General features: G+C 53.8%; 1 long non-coding RNA gene across 3 annotated transcripts, besides 3 other annotated features; it reads left to right on the top strand.

The window, feature by feature from the left end:
• Window positions 4,233–4,282: a silencer, noted in NCBI's record as "silent region_6966". NCBI's record gives its function as "represses an Ori minimal core promoter by ATAC-STARR-seq in GM12878 lymphoblastoid cells {active_cell/tissue: GM12878}" and the evidence as "EXISTENCE:reporter gene assay evidence [ECO:0000049][PMID:35858748]".
• Window positions 4,453–4,602: a silencer, noted in NCBI's record as "silent region_6965". NCBI's record gives its function as "represses an Ori minimal core promoter by ATAC-STARR-seq in GM12878 lymphoblastoid cells {active_cell/tissue: GM12878}" and the evidence as "EXISTENCE:reporter gene assay evidence [ECO:0000049][PMID:35858748]".
• On the top strand, window positions 5,974–12,072 carry UBE2I-AS1 (UBE2I antisense RNA 1). Of its 3 annotated transcripts, NR_198995.1 has the most exons (3): window positions 5,974–6,483; window positions 6,588–6,736; window positions 10,929–12,072. It is a non-coding gene; the product is annotated as a UBE2I antisense RNA 1 (long non-coding RNA). The 3 variants fall into 3 exon arrangements; NR_198996.1 differs by lacking the exon at window positions 6,588–6,736; NR_198997.1 differs by lacking the exon at window positions 10,929–12,072 and having other exon boundaries at window positions 6,588–7,223.
• Window positions 9,724–9,924: a silencer, noted in NCBI's record as "peak2468 fragment used in MPRA reporter construct". NCBI's record gives its function as "represses an SCP1 promoter by STARR-seq MPRAs in K562 erythroleukemia cells {active_cell/tissue: K562}" and the evidence as "EXISTENCE:reporter gene assay evidence [ECO:0000049][PMID:32103011]".
• Window positions 12,073–15,235: the final 3,163 nt, after the last annotated feature.

Below are 15,235 nucleotides of genomic sequence, written 5' to 3'. Positions count from 1 at the left end.
ACTTCATTTAAAAATAAAAAGAAAAAAAAATTCACATATCTGAGAAGGAGTTATTATCCAGGATAATAGGCTGGGCGCGGTGGCTCACGCCTGTAATCCCAGCACTTTGGGAAGCTGAGGTGGGCAGATCACTTGAGGTCAGAAGTTCGAGACCAGCCTGGACAACATGGTGAAACCCCGTCTCTACTAAAAAATACTAAAGTTAGCTGGGTATGGTTGTGCACACCACTCCAGCTCCTGGGGAGGCTGAGGCACAAGAATCGCTTGAACCCGGCAGGCGAAGGTTGCGGTGAGCTGAGATTGCACCACTGCACTCCAGCCTGGGGGACAGAATGAGCTTCGTCTCAAAAAAATAACAAAAAAATCTGGGATATAGAAAATCCCTACATCAATAAGAAAATGGCTCTGGAGGGCCGGGCGCAGTGGCTCACGCCTGTAATCCCAGCACTTTGGTAGGCTGAGGCAGGTGGATCACCTGAGGTCAGGAGTTCAAGACCAGCCTGGCCAACATGGTGGAACCCCATCTCTACTAAAAATACAAAAATTAGCTGAGCATGGTGGCAGGCGTCTGTAATCCCAGCTACTGGGGAGGCTGAGGCAGGAGAATCGCTTGAACCCAGGAGGCAGAGGTTGCAGTGAGCCAAGATCATGCCATTGCACTCTAGCCTGAGTGACAGAGTGAGACACCGTCTCAAAAAAACCAAAACAAGGCCGGGCGCGGTGGCTCAGCACTTTGGGAGGCCGAGGCAGGCAGATCATGAGGTCAGGAGATCGAGACCATCCTGACTAACACGGTGAAACCCCGTCTCTACTAAAAATACAAAAAATTAGCCGGATGTGGTGGTGGGCGCCTGTAGTCGCAGCTACTCGGGAGGCTGAGGCAGGAGAATGGCGTGAACCCAGGAGGCGGAGCTTGCAGTGAGCGGAGATCTCGCCACTGCACTCCAGCCTGGGCGACAGAGCGAGACTCGTCTCAAAAAAAAACAACAAAAAAAAAACAAGCAAACAAAAAAAGACTCTGGTTCCTGCCCCTCCAGCCCGGATGTACCTCACTTCCTCCTCCAATTCAGGACACGCCCTCGACTCTCTGGGGGTCTCCCCTGCAGCTCAACCAGCCAGGATGAGGGTTTCAGAAGATACTGCTCAGAGGCTGTGACCCAGCTGTGCCCCGATCCTACTGTGCTCTGCAGGGCTCCTCCCGAGCTCCCTGGGGGAACCCCCTAACTGTAGAGGCCTGGGCCCTCAGCCTCTGGCTGGCCCCAGAGAGTGCAGGGGGTGTCTTCTAGTCTCAAATTCCCCAGGCTGGGAGGCTCAGTAGGGAGAAGGAGCAAAGCCCGCTCCCTCGCTCCTGACTGTGCCGCTTCCTTGGTGGTGGTCACCAGGCTCACAGGTCCCCATCCGCTAGAAGAATGGTGGGGGTAGGAGCAAAGTCTGGGGCCGTTTCTGTTTCCCTGTGCCGTGACCTACAGCTTTGATTTTCTGCACTCTCAAAGAGGTGGGCCTCATTGGATGCCTGTCACTGCCAATCCCCAAATTGATCACCTCTGTCGCGGAAGAGAGAGGCCGGGACCAGATTGGGGTGAGGGATGGGTCTCCAGTCCTGGTCGTGGCCAGCACAGTTGGAATGACCGTCGTGAGCACTGCAGAGAATAAAGAGAGCGCCCGGTGGAGTCGTGGCAGCCCCTGGAAACCCATGCAGGGAGAGTCCAGCCAGGAGCCAGGACTTTTTGGCCCCCAACCCTCTGAAACAGACGGAAAAGCCCACAGACCGGGGTGCATGGGGCGTGACCTTTCCTCCTCCCACCTGGCCCTGCGTGCAGCATTCTTGTCCTGGTACATGTGGGCGGGTCAGGTACCCTCCTCTCTCTCCCCGACTGCAGCCTGTTCTGCCTCTGATAGATGCTGCTAAGACCAGGAGCCCTTGGATAGGGCAGGAGTGGCCTGCCCATGCCGTATTCCCTCCACGTCGTCCCTCTGCCCAAGCCTGGCTCCTGCACACCTGGGCTGCTTCCTGCCTCCATGCCTTTCCCTGAGCAGTGCCCCACCCACATGCCCCGCCCTCCCACCTCACCCGCCCGGTGGCTCTTTCCGGCCTCCTCTAAATCGCAGCCCTTGGCCGGGCACAGTGACTCACAACCTGTAATCCCAGCACTTTGGGACGCCGAGGTGGGCGGATCACTTGAGGTCAGGAGTTCAAGACTAGCCTGACCAATATGGTGAAAACCCATCTCTACTAAAAATACAAAAATTAGCCAGGTGTGGTGGCAGGCGCCTGTAATCCCAGCTACTCAGGAGGCTGAGGCAGGAGAACTGCTTGAACCGGGGGGGTGGAGGTTGCAGTGAGCTGAGATCACACCACTGCACTCCAGCCTGGGTGACAGAGAGAGACTCCGTCTCAAAAATAAATAAATAATACATTTAGAGACAGGGTCTCCCTGTGTTGCCCCGGCTGGTCTCAAATTCCTGGGCCCAAGGGACCCTCCTGCCTCGGCCTCCCAAAGTGCTGGGATTACAGGTGTGAGCCACCATGCATGGCTAATTTAATGTAATTTGATTTAATTTTGAGACAGAGTCTCACTGTGCCACCCAGGCTAGAGCGCAGTGCTGCAATCCTGTCTCACTGGAGCCTTGACATCCCCAGTCTCGAGCGATCCTCCCACCACAGCCTCCCAAGTCGCTGGGACTACAGGTGTGAACTACCACACCCTACTAATCCACACCCCGCTAATTTTTGTACCTTTTGTAGAGACTGGGTTTTACCACGTTGTCCAGGCTGGTCTGTAACTCCTGGGCTCAAGCGATCGTCCCACCTCAGCTTCCCAAAGTGCTGGGATTGCAGCGTGAGCCACTGTGCCCTGCCCACTCTATAATTCAACATTTTTATTATTGTTTGTTTTAGTTTTTTTTTTTTTTTTTTTGAGACAAAATCTCACTCTGTTCCCAGGCTGGAGTGCAGCGGCGCAATCTCGGCCCACTGCAACCTCCTCCTCCTGGGTACAATCAATTCTCCTGCCTCAGCCTCCTGAGGAGCTGGGATTACAGGCGCACACCACCACGCCTGGCTAATTTTGTATTTTTACCATGTTGGCCAGGTTGGTCTCCAACTCCTAACCTCAGGTGATCCACCCGCCTTGGCCTCCCAAAGTGCTGGGATTACAGGCATGAGCTATCATGAGCCATCATGCCTGGCCTATTTTTTATTTTTTGAGATGGAGTCTCGCTCTTTCGCCTAGGCTGGAGTGCAGTGAGGCAATCTTGGCTCACTGCAACCTCCGCCTCCTGGGTTCAAGCGATTCTCCCGCCTCAGCCTCCCGAGTAGCTGGGTTGACAGGCACCTGCCATCATGCCCGGCTACTTTTTGTATTTTTGTAAAGACGGGGTTTCACCATGTTGGCCAGGCTGGTCTGGAACTCCTAACCTCAGGTGATCCACCCGCCTCGGCCTCCCAAAGTGCTGGGATTACAGATATGAGCCACTGTGCCCGACCCAACTTCATATTTACTCTCTGTTGTTTTCAAGACAGCAGAAGCTCCCTGAATGTGTGTTCATGCTGGGCCAGCACCGTGCTGGGGTAAAGGAGGATCCATTCCGGCCACCACCTCCGTCCTGAGCTGACAGGCCGCTGGGGAGATGGTCAGCAAGGGGGGAGTTGCTGCAGAGCCAGAGCCACACTATTGTGAGGACAGTGAAAGAGGCCCCAACACCCTCACAGGTCCGGGCAGCCTTCCTAGAGGAGGTGGCATTGAGGTGGGCATGGAGTTTCCGGGATGCAGCGGTGAAGGGTGAGGTCAGAGAGAGTGGGCCAGGGCGTGGTTCAGAATGGCCAGGCTGAGGGCTCAGGGGTGGGGGCTGCCTGAATCGAGCCCAGCAAGGAATTCGGACTCCCCCCTGCCGGCAGAGGGGCACCAGAGTAGGGTCTTCATAACACAAGCGATTGGCATTCTGCTTGGATCAGAGCTGTGGAGCAGCTGGGAGGGGCAGGACCCTCGCGGGAAACCTCTCAGCCGAACTCCTGCAGAAATCTGGGGTGTGGGGGCTCGGTGGTGTGGACAGGGCCACGCAGAGAGGTGGATGGAGGGGTACCTGGGACTCAGACTTGCAGGGAGTGGGAGGGCAGGGGGAGTCCAGGGTGACCCCCTGGCCTAGCGTTTGCGTGGCTGGGGGATGCCGGGTCCGCAGGTCTGGGTGGCCGAGGGTCGAGGGGGGAGCTCAGGTTGGGTCCTGCTGGGCTCCCGGAGCCTGGGACCCGGTGGAGTGCAGACCTGGCTGTCCCGGCTGGGCAGGTGCGTGAAGCCCCATGAGGAGGCGGCCCGGGAGGGGGCGGGCAGAGGCAAGAGGGCTGTGCCGGGACCCAAGCGACGGCAGCAGGGGTCAGCAGAGGGGCCTGCGGCGGGGTGGACGCTGGAGCAGGAGACCAGGGGAGGTTTGTCAACAGGGCTCCACAGACGGCCAGCCGGGCAGAGCTGCCGGGAGTCCGTCCGCCTCCTGGGCTGCCTGCCGCCCCCTGCTGGCCCTGCCGTGAAACGCTGGTGCCTCAGGGGACACGGCCATGGCCCTGGAGTGGGTGTCACCGTGGGGCCGCCCCCGGGAGGGGCTCTGCCTGAGCCTGTGGAGACCCCTCCAGGGACACCGGATGCCTGAGCCCAGAGCCGCGCCTGCAGAGTGGGCTGTGCTTGTGTTGGGGCACGAAGGACACGCTTTGGCCAGGACAGTGGGGCACTGACTGGTGTCTAAGATGCTTGAGGCAGGGCAGGCAGACCTGCAGTCACTCCTCTGCAGAGTCGCACACCGGGGCGTGTGGGCTCTCAGCCCTCACCCCACCCAGCAGGAGGGCGTGGGGAGGCGGGGCAGCGGGTTGGACCAGGTCTCCTGACATGGGGCTGCAGCCAGGTGGGGTTGGGCTCCTGGGATTCCCATGCGCGTGGACGGTGGGTCAGATGCTGTAGCCGCCATCTGAAGCCGACGTGTGAAACTTCAGCTTCTTAGCAAGGTAGACTGATGCTTTTTTTTATTTTTTAAGACTGAGTTTCGCTCTTATGGACCAGGCTGGAGTGCAATGGCATGTTCTCGGCTCACTGCAATCTCTGCCTCCTGGGTTCAAGTGATTCTTGTGCCTCAGCCTCCCACGTAGCTGGGATTACAGGCGCCCACCAGGCCTGGCTCATCTTTTGCATTTTTAGTAGAGATGGGGTTTTGCCATGTTGGCCAGGGCTGGTCTCCATCTCTTGACCTCAGGTGATCCGCCTGCCTCAGCCTCCCAAAGTGTTGGGATCACAGGCGTGAGCCACCACACCCGGCCTCCCGCGCGACCCTGGCACTGTTAAAATTTTTTTTTTTTTTAAACAAACTTCAGCTTCTTAGACGGGCTTTCAGGGCTACAGAAATCGCTCACGTTTTACACCCGCTTATGTAAGTGTGTGTGCGCTGGAGCGGGTGTACACAGGCATGTTCACTGCACCTGTATACAGGTGCAGGCGTTTCAGGGGGGCATTAGCTACACAGCATTTCTCAACCTTTTGGAAGCTGGGGTAATTTGGCTCTGAAACCTGTTCCCTGGGTCGTGCCCTCTTGCGGATCCAGGAGAGCAGGGACATTTGCCTGTGCGTTCACTGCCGTATTCTTGGTGTCTGGAGCAGTGCCTGACCTGTGGCGGGTGCTTAGTGAGTTATCCGTGCAATGAATGAATGAATCAATGAATGAATGAATGAATGAATGAACGAACCAGCCGGAACCTTGCTGGCCGTTGACTGAAAATGTCTGGATTCAATTGACTGAATCAAACAGACTTAGAGCTTGAGAGGGAAAAATTATTTCACTTAGAAAATAAAAGTTATCTCTGCAGGACTAGACATGAAAGGAAAAAAAAAAGAAAAAAGAAAAAAGTTCTACCTTTGCCCCCGCGGTTCTCAGGTTTCACCTGACGTGGTGAAATACGCTGTAGGTCACATGCGTAGGTTTGGCCGCTGGCCGTCCAGTAGTCCTCCCACCCCGGGGGACGGGTGCGGGGGGTGACCCGGTGAAGAGGGCAGGGAGCTGGGGCAGCCTGCTGTGCGGAGCTGGGGGAGGAGGAGGGAGCCCTGGGGGACAGACAGAAGGACCATCGAAGGAGAAACCCTGCTGGCCTCGGGACCTGGAGGAAAGAACCAGGGCCCGTGCTCCTTGGGCCAGGATCCGGCGATTGGACGGAACCTCTCGGATTCCCCAGTGCTGTGAAATCCACTTGGGGCCATCACACCCTTCATTGCTGTGCTCCCTGGCAGAACTCGAATGCAGCGTGAGCTGGGCACTTTTCCCAGGGTTTGCTCTAGGTCTGGGTCTCCCATCAGCTCCCCCGGAGCAGAGCCTGAGGCAAGGATTCTTGTTCGGGGGCATCTTCCTCTCAGCACCGTGCTTTGGGAATCGAGTGATGGTGCTGAGTGAACCCCTGAGTGAACATCTGTGGCTTCCTCCCACCTCGTCTCTGGATGCACTCCTGTTCGAATGGTACCTGATCTTCTTCTGTGTGAGAATTTTCTCTGGGCACAGTCTGTCCAGGAGGGGACACGAGTACCCCTAATTTCACTAAGTGTGGCTGAATTATCTTCCAGGGTGTCTGTACATGCTTGTCCCCTCCCCACGGTGGCGTGCTCAATGGTGGCTCCCCACAGATATGTCCGTGTCCTAATTCCCGGAGCCTTTGGGTCTCATGTAGCCAATGATGTGAAAAAGTGAAGGATGCTGAGAGGAGATCATCCAGGTGGGCTCTGAACAGTATCCTGTGCATCTTTCTAATAAGAGGGGTTCACCGGGATCCTGTGCATCTTTCTAATAAGAGGGGCTCACCGGGTGCGGGGGCTCACGCCTATCATCCCAGCACTTTGGGAGGCCAAGACGGGCAAATCACGTGAGGTCTGGAGTTTGGAACTAGCCTGGGCATCATGGTGAAACTCCGTCTCTACTAAAACTACAAAAATCAGCCAGGCGTGGTGGCCTGTAATCCCAGCTACTCCGGAGGCTGAGGCCTGAGAATCGCTTGAACCCGGGAGGTGGAGATCACGCCATTGCACTCCAGCCTGGGTGACAGAGTGAAACTTCACCTGAAAAAAAAAAAGAGGGTTCCACAGAGGGGACGCAAACAGGAGGGGACAGCGTGGCCATGGAGGCAGCAGGGAGTGGCACAGCCATCATGACAATAAGAAAAGACAGGACTTAAACACATAAATAATTTCCACTGTTTTAAACTACCATGTTTGTGGTAATTTGTTACAGCAGTGGCAGGAAATTAATACACCCATCTTTAGGACACAAGCGTTCCCCTTTCTCAGGCTAGACACGGTGGCTCACACCTATAATTCCAGCACTTTGGGAGGCCCAGGTGGGAGGATCATTTGTGCCCAGGAGTTTGAGACCAGCCTGGGAAACACAGTGAGATCCCATCTCTACAAAAAACTAAAAAGACACAGACATGAGCCACTGTGCCTGGCCTCCGAATTATGTTTCTTTGCTATATTTTGAAATGGCCCTGCAAAGCCATCTTTTGTGGGGGGAGATATGCGTCTATAAGGAATTTCAGGCCGGGCACAGTGGCTCACGCCTATAATCCCAGCACTTTGGGAGGCCGAGGTGGGTGGACCACGAGGTCAAGAGATTGAGACCATCCTGGCCAACATGGTGAAACCCCATCTCTAGTAAAAATAAAAAAATTAGCTGGGCGTGGTGGCGGGCACCTGTAATCCCAACTACTCAGGAGGCTGAGGTAGCAGACTCACTTGAACCCAGGAGGTGGAGGTTGCAGTCAGCCGAGGTCATGCCACTGTACTCCAGCCTGGGCAACAGAGCAAGACTCTGTCTTAAAAAAAATAATAAAAATAAAACGCTTCCCTGCCACAGCCCTTGGCATTGGTACGCTGACCTGCCAGGCATTGGACTGTGGTTACCCACAGGTTACCCACGATTTCTGTCTGACCTGGCTACAAATAGGCCATTCCCAGGACCCACCTCTTGAGCCCAACAATTTGCTAGAGTGGCTCACAGGACTCAGGGAAATGCTTTATTTACTATTACAGATTTATTACAAAGGATATGTAAGCCAAAAAGTATTTGAGATACGTCTCAATCAATTTAGAAGTTTATTTTGCCAGGGTTAAGGATTTGGCCATGACACAGCCTTAGGAGGTCCTGAGAATGTGTGAAGGTGTCTGGGCTACAGCTGTTTTTTTTTTTTTTCTGGAGAGAGAGTCTTGCTCTGTTGCCAGCTGGAATGCAGTGGCACTGTATCAGCTCACTGTGTTAAATATAGTGAACTCCGAGTTTCTCTTCAAAGAATCAGCATGTCAGTTTGTTCAGCTCTCTTATTCTTTGATTCTCCATTTTAAAGCTTAACTTCCTGGTTCTTTGCTCCCTTGCCTCTACTTTCAGTAAACAACTTTCCCACCAGTTCTAATCAGTAGCTCACATCTCTTCCCTGGTCATCTGCTCTGCCCTGAGTCACCCTGTCACCTGCTCTGCCCTGACACATCCTGAGTCACCTGTTCTATAACTGTCCTTCCTGCCAAACTACTCACTCTGCCACTCCGACTCGTACCCCTGCTCTCTTTAAAATAGCCAATTGGAATTAGCTTAGACTGTGTGGTCCAACCCTAGCCAATAGGGGAACCACACAGCAGGAGGGGCTGCCGGCGTCAGGGATAAGAACCCCTTCCCCTCCCCTGTCCAGGTGTGCTCTCGCCATTGCTCCATCCGTGAGATGCACCCTTCTATAGAAGTAAATTGTCTTGGGGCTGGGCATGGTGGCTCACACCTGTAATCCTAGCACTTTGGGAGGCTGAGGCGGGTGGATCACGAGGTCAGGAGTTCGAGACCAGCCTCACCAACATGGTGAAACCCCGTCTGTAGTAAAAATACAAAAATTAGCTGGGCGTAGTGGAGGGCACCTGTAATCCCTGCTACTCAGGAGGCTGAGGCAGGAGAATCACTTGAACCCGGGAGGTGGAGACTGCAGTGAGCCGAGATCACACCACTGCACTCCAGCCTGGGTGACAGAGCGAGACTCTGTCTCAAAAAAAAAAAAAAAAAAAAATGTAAATTGTCTTGGTGAGAAAATTTTTGGTCTGAGTGTTAGTTCTTCTTTTTGGCATGAAGGAACAAGCATTTGTTTCTAACAACTGCAACCTTTGCCTCCCATGTTCAAGTGATTCTCCTGCCTCAGTCTCCCAAGTAGCTGGGATTACAAGCACCTACCACCATGCCTGGCAATTTATTTTATTTTATTTTATTTTTTGAGATGGAGTCTGGCTCTCTGTTGCCCAGGCTGGATTGCAGTGGTGCAATCTCGGCTCACTGCAACGTCTGCCTCCCAGGTCCAAGCGATTCTCCTGCCTTAGCCTCCCAAGCAGCTGGGATTACCTGCACCTGCCACCACACCTGGCTAATCTTTGTATTTTTAGTAGAGATGGGGTTTTGCCACATTGGCCAGGCTGGTCTTGAACTCCTGACCTCAAGTGATCCACCCTCCTCAGCCTCCCAAAGTGCTGGGATTACCGGCGTGAGCCACTGTGCCCAGCTTTTTTTGTATTTTTAATAGAGACGGGGTTTCACCATGTTGGCCAGGCTGGTCTCAAACTCCTGACCTCAAGTGATCTGCCTGCCTCGGCCTCTCAAAGTGCTGGGATACAGGTGTGAGCCACTCGTCTGGCCTCCAGCTTGGTTTTATACATTTTAGGGTGACCAAAGTTATAGGCAGAGATCAGTCAATACATGCAAGGTGCACGCTGGTTCAGTCTGGAAAGGTGGAATGTCTGAGGGGAGCTTCCCAGTCATAGGTGGATTCAAAGATTTCCGGGCTGGTAGTTGGTTGAAAGACTTAAGTTTTGCCTAAAGAGTTGAAGTCTGCAGAAAAAAATGGGGCTAAATTCAGGGGGGATTGTGGAAGCCAAGGTTCTTGTTATGTAGATGAAGCATCCAGGTAGCAGGCTTCAGAGAGAATAGATGGCAAATGTCTCTTACCAGAGCTTAAAAGGTGCTAGACTCTCCTGAAAATACTTAGTAAGGGCCGGGCACGGTGGCTCACACCTGTAATCCCAGCACTTTGGCAGGCTGAGGCAGGCGGATCACCTGAGGTTGGGAGTTAGAGACCAGCCTGACAAACATGGATAAACCCCATCTCTACTAAAAATACAAAATCAGCTGGGCATGATGGCACATGCCTGTAATCCCAGCTACTTCGGAGGCTGAGGCAGGAGAATTGCTTGAACCTGGGAGGCAGAGGTTGCAGTGAGCCAAGATCGCGCCATTGCACTCCAGCCTGGGCAACAAGAGTGAAACTCCATCTCAAAAAAAAAAAAAAAAAAAGAGACCTGTTAAGGGAAGACGATTCTCTGCAGAGTGTAAATTTCCCCCACAAGAGGCAGCTTTGCAGGGCCATTTAAAAATATATCAAATAAATATATTTTGGGGCTGGACATAGTGGCTGACGCCTATAATCTCAGCACTTTGGGAGGCCAAGGTGGGCAGATCACTTGAGGTCAGGAGTTCGAGACTAGCCTGGGCAACATGGCGAGACCCCATATCTACTAAAAATACAAAAATTAGCCAGGCATGATGGTGGGCACGTGTAATTCCAGCTACTCAGGAGGCTAAGGCATGAGAATCACTTGAACCCGGGAGGTGGATGTTACAGTGAGCCGAGATCATGTGACTGCACTGTAGCCCGGGCAATAGAGCGAGACTCCCTCTCAAAAAAAAAAAAAAAAAAAAAAAAATCTGTTTTAATGTTAAGGCTGGTCAGTGGGGCCTGAATCCCAAAGGGAGGAGGGTGTAATGAGGCATGTCCAATCCCCCTTCCCAGCGTGGCCTGAACTAGTGTTTTGAGCCACTTTCGAATCCCCTTGGAGGAGAGGAGGGGTCTGTTTCATCAGTTGGGGGCTTATAATTTTATTTTTGTTTTGCAGATGTCTTAGAGGATAAAAATGAGCGGGCAGATGAAGAGATACTCAGGGTGAGGTTTGGAAGGTGCACCAGGCCCACCCCATGGATGTGGCTCAGAGAGCCTGGGAAACGTGAGGTCTGTGACCTGGATCAGGCCCAGAGAGACCTGAGCAGGAGGCGTGTGAAGCCCCTGCGCCTGTGCGAGGAGGGAAGCTGTTTCAGGGAATTTGCCTTTCTTTCCCTGTAGTTTCAGACTAGCTGATAAATTACCTAAAATGTTACCACAAGATGCACAATGTAACCATCACTCATTATCTTCATGTTCCTGGAATTTTTTTTTTTTTTTTGAGATAGAGTGTAGCCTCATGGCAGCCTCAACCTCCTGGGCTCAAGTTGTCAGAGGCGTGTGAACCAGAGCAACTCCATCTTGAATGGGGCTGCGTAAAATGAAGCTGAGACCTGTGGGGCTGCATTCCCAGACCGCTGTGGCATTCTGAGTCACAGGGTGAGACAGGAGGTCAGCACAAGATACAGGTCATAAAGACCTTGCTGATAAAACAGGTTGCAGCAAAGGAGCCGTCCAAATCCCACCAAAACCAAGATGGTGACAAGAGTGACCTCTGGCCGTCCTCACTGCCACACTCCCACCAGCCGTGACAGTTTACAGATGCCATGGCAACCTCAGGAAGTCACCATATATGGTCTAAAAAGGGGAGGTATGAATAATCCACCCCTTGTTTAGCATATCATCAAGAAATAACCACAAAAACGGAGAACCAGCAGTCCTCGGGGCTGCTTTGTCTATGGAGTAGCCATTCTTTTTTTTTTTTTCGAGATGGAGTCTCGCTCTGTTGCCTGGGCTGGAGTGCGGTGGCATGATCTTGGCTCACTGCAACCTCTGCCTCCTGGGTTTAAGTGATTCTCCTGCCTCAGCCGAGCTGAGTAGCTGGGCTTACAGGCACCCACCACCATGCCCGGCTAATTTTTTGTATTTTTAGTAAAGCCAGGGTTTCATTATACTAGCCAGGCTGGTCTCGAACTCCTGACCTCATGACCTGCCTGCCTCAGCTTCCCAAAGTACTGGGATTACCGGTGTGAACCACCGTGCCCAGCCAGAGTAGCCATTCTTTACTCCTTTACTTTCCTAATAAACTTCCTTTCACTTTACTCTGTGAACTTGCCCTGAATTCTTTCTTGTGAGAGATCCAAGAACCCTCTCTTGGGGTCTGGATTGGCACCCCTTTCCTGTAACAAAGCCATTCTCCCACCTTAGCCTCCCAAATAGCTAAGACCACGGGTGTGTGCCACCGTGCCTGGCTAATTTTTAATTTTTTTTTTTAAGAGATAGGGTCTCCAGCCTGACCAACATGGCAAAACCCTGTCTCTACTAAATATACAAACAAATGAGCTGGGCATGGGGGCGGGTGCTTGTAGTCCCAGCTACTTGGGAGGCTGAGGCAGGAGAATTGATTGAACCCGGGAGGCAGAGGTTGCAGTGAGCTGAGATGGCACCATTGCACTCCAGCCTGGGCACAGTGAGACTCCGTCTCAAAAAAAAAAAAAGATGGAGTCTCACTGTGTAACCCAGGCTGGTCTCGAACTCCTGACCTCAAGTGATCCTCCCGCTTTAGCCTCCCGAAGTGCTGTGATTACAGGCATGAGCCACCACACCCAGCCCACCGTGCAGGCAGTGACTCACACCTGTAATCCCAGTACTTTGGGAGGCTGAGGTGGGAGAATTGCTTGAGCTGAGGAGTTCAAGACCAGCCTTGGTGACACAGTGAAACCCTGTCTTTGCTAAAAATAAGAAAATTAGCCGGGCGTGATAGCATGTGCCTGTAGTCCCAGCTATTCTGGAGGCTGAGGACAGGATGGCTTGAGCCTGGGAGGTGGAGGTTGAGTGAGCTGAGATCAGGCCACTGGGCGACAGAGCAATAGCCTGGGAAAAGGAGAGAGGGAGGGGGAAGTGGGGGGGGGGAGAGGAAAGGAGAGGGGAGAGGGGGAGGGGAGAGGGGAGAGGAGAGAGGGGAGAGGGGGAGGGGGAGGGGGAGAGGGGAGAGGGAGGAGGGGAGAAGGGAGAGGAAAGGAGAGGGGAGAGGGGAGGGGAGAGGGGAGAGGAAAGGAGAGGGGAGAGGAAAGGAGAGGGGAGAGGAAAGGAGAGTGGAGAGAGGAGAGGGGAGAGGAAAGGAGAGGGGAGAGAGGAGACGGTAGAGGGGAGAGGGGAGAGGAAAGGAGAGGGGAGAGGAAAGGAGAGGGGAGAGGAAAGGAGAGGAGAAAGGAAAGTCAGGCTGGGTGCGGTGGCTCACCCCTGTAATCCCAGCACTTTGGGAGGCCGAGTCAGGTAGATCACTTGAGGTCAGGAGTTTGAGACCAGCCTGACCAACATGGTGAAACCCTCGTTTCTACTAAAAATACAAAATTAGCCAGGTGTGGTGGCGTGCGCTGTAATCCCAACTACTTGGGAGGCTGAGGCAGGAGAATCACTTGAACCCAGTAGGCAGAGGTTGCAGCGAGCTGAGATCGTGCCACTGCACTCCGGCATGGGTGACAGAGCGAGACTCCATCTGAAAAAAAAAAAAAAAAAAAAGAGGAAAGGAGAGGGAAAAGAGGCTTGTAGTTCTGCAGGCTGTACGGCACGGCATCAGTATCTGCTTGGCTTCTGGGGAGGCCTCGGGAGCTTCCCGTGGTGGCGGAAGGCCAAGGGGGAGCCAGGGTATCCCACGGTGAAGGAGGAAGCAAGAGAGAAGGACCGAGAGGGACCAAGAGCCAGACCGAGTGGGCTGAGCGGCGCCCACCCAGGTTTCAGGAGGAAGGAGATTTCGGGTGGGAAACAAACTCACCGGGTGGGGCTGTTCGTCACAGGAGCGTGTCCTGCTGGTCACTTACGATTGCTGGGCCCATGACAGCAGCAGCTGGTCAGGCACGGGCAGGGCAGGAGAGGGCTCCCCTCCCACACACCGGGAGCATCAGTCGTCCTTCGGGCGATGGTCAGGCGGTTGTTAACTGCCTGTGTAACATAATACTTGTTGCAGCTGGCACCAGGGAAAGGCAGGCTCCCAATAGACAGCAAACACCTGAAACCGGTGATCAGCAGCTTCCCGGTAAGATCTCAGGAGCTGGGCGAGGGGGCTGGAGCAGGCACACTAAGAGGCAAAATGGCAGAGTTTAACTGGTCTATGGCCTTCAAGGGACCTGCGGCTGGTCATGAAGAGCGCCTCAAGTGAGCACACGCACGACTGCGGCAAACGCACCACACACGCTCCCCTCCCGAGCGCCAGCAGGCCATGGCACACGCAGACAGCCCACTCACGGGAGGAATCTCGGGAGAAGGGATGCGAGGCCCTGGAAGCATGCCAACCTATAAGAACCCAAGTCAGGCTGGGCGCGAGGGCTCATGCCTGGAATCCCAGCACTTTGGGAGGCCGAGGTGGGCGGATCACGAGGTCAGGAGTTTGACACCAGTCTGGCCAACATGGTGAAACCCTGTCTCTGCTATAAATACAAAAAATAGCTGGGTGTGGTGGCGCATGCCTGAATCGTTTGAATCCGGCAGGTGGAGGTTTCACTGAGCTGAGATCCCGCCATTGCACTCCAGCCTGGGTGACAGAACAAGACTCTGTCTCAAAAAACAAACAGCCCCAAGTCAAAGGTCAAACTGCAGACTTCTCTTTCGAGTTGCCTGCTTGGGCGTTTTCCAAGTGTACTTGCCTTCATTTTGTTCCTGCTCTAAAGCTGCTTATTTTTATTTATTATTATTATTTTTAGATAGGTTCTCACTCCGTTACCCAGGCTGGAGTGCAGTGGCGCAATCTCGGCTCACCGCAACCTCCGCCTCCCGGGTTCAAGCAATTCTCCTGCCTCAGCCTCCCGAGTAGCTGGGATTACAGGCATGCGCCACCACGCCCGTCTAATTTTTGTATTTTTAGTAGAGACAGGATTTTACCACATTGGCCAGGCTGGTCTTGAACTCCTGGCCTCAAGTGGTCTTCCCGCCTTGGCCTCTCACAGTGCTGGGATTACAGGCATGAACCACCACACCCGGCCTCTAAAGCTTTTTAATAATCGTTCACTCCTGCTCTAAAACTTGCCTCAGTCTCTCCTTCTGCCTTCTGCCCCTCAGCTGAATTTTTCTTCTGAGGAGGCAAGAATTGAGATTGCTGCAGATCCGCGTGCATTTGCTGTCGCTCGCAGACCTGGAGGATACTACCCTGGCGATGGGACGCAGAGAGCTGGACCAGGCTGCTGGCTGTGCGGGCAGGGGAGGAGAGAGAGCGGGGAGAGGGCTGTGGACGGCGCTGCACCCTCTCTCTGCGTTTCTGGGGCTGGTCTC

Source organism: Homo sapiens, chromosome 16 (genome assembly GCF_000001405.40).
Source record: "Homo sapiens chromosome 16, GRCh38.p14 Primary Assembly".
Lineage (NCBI taxonomy): Eukaryota > Metazoa > Chordata > Mammalia > Primates > Hominidae > Homo > Homo sapiens.
The sequence above is the reverse complement of the archived record's forward strand: the minus strand, read 5'-3'. Positions and strand labels throughout refer to the sequence as shown.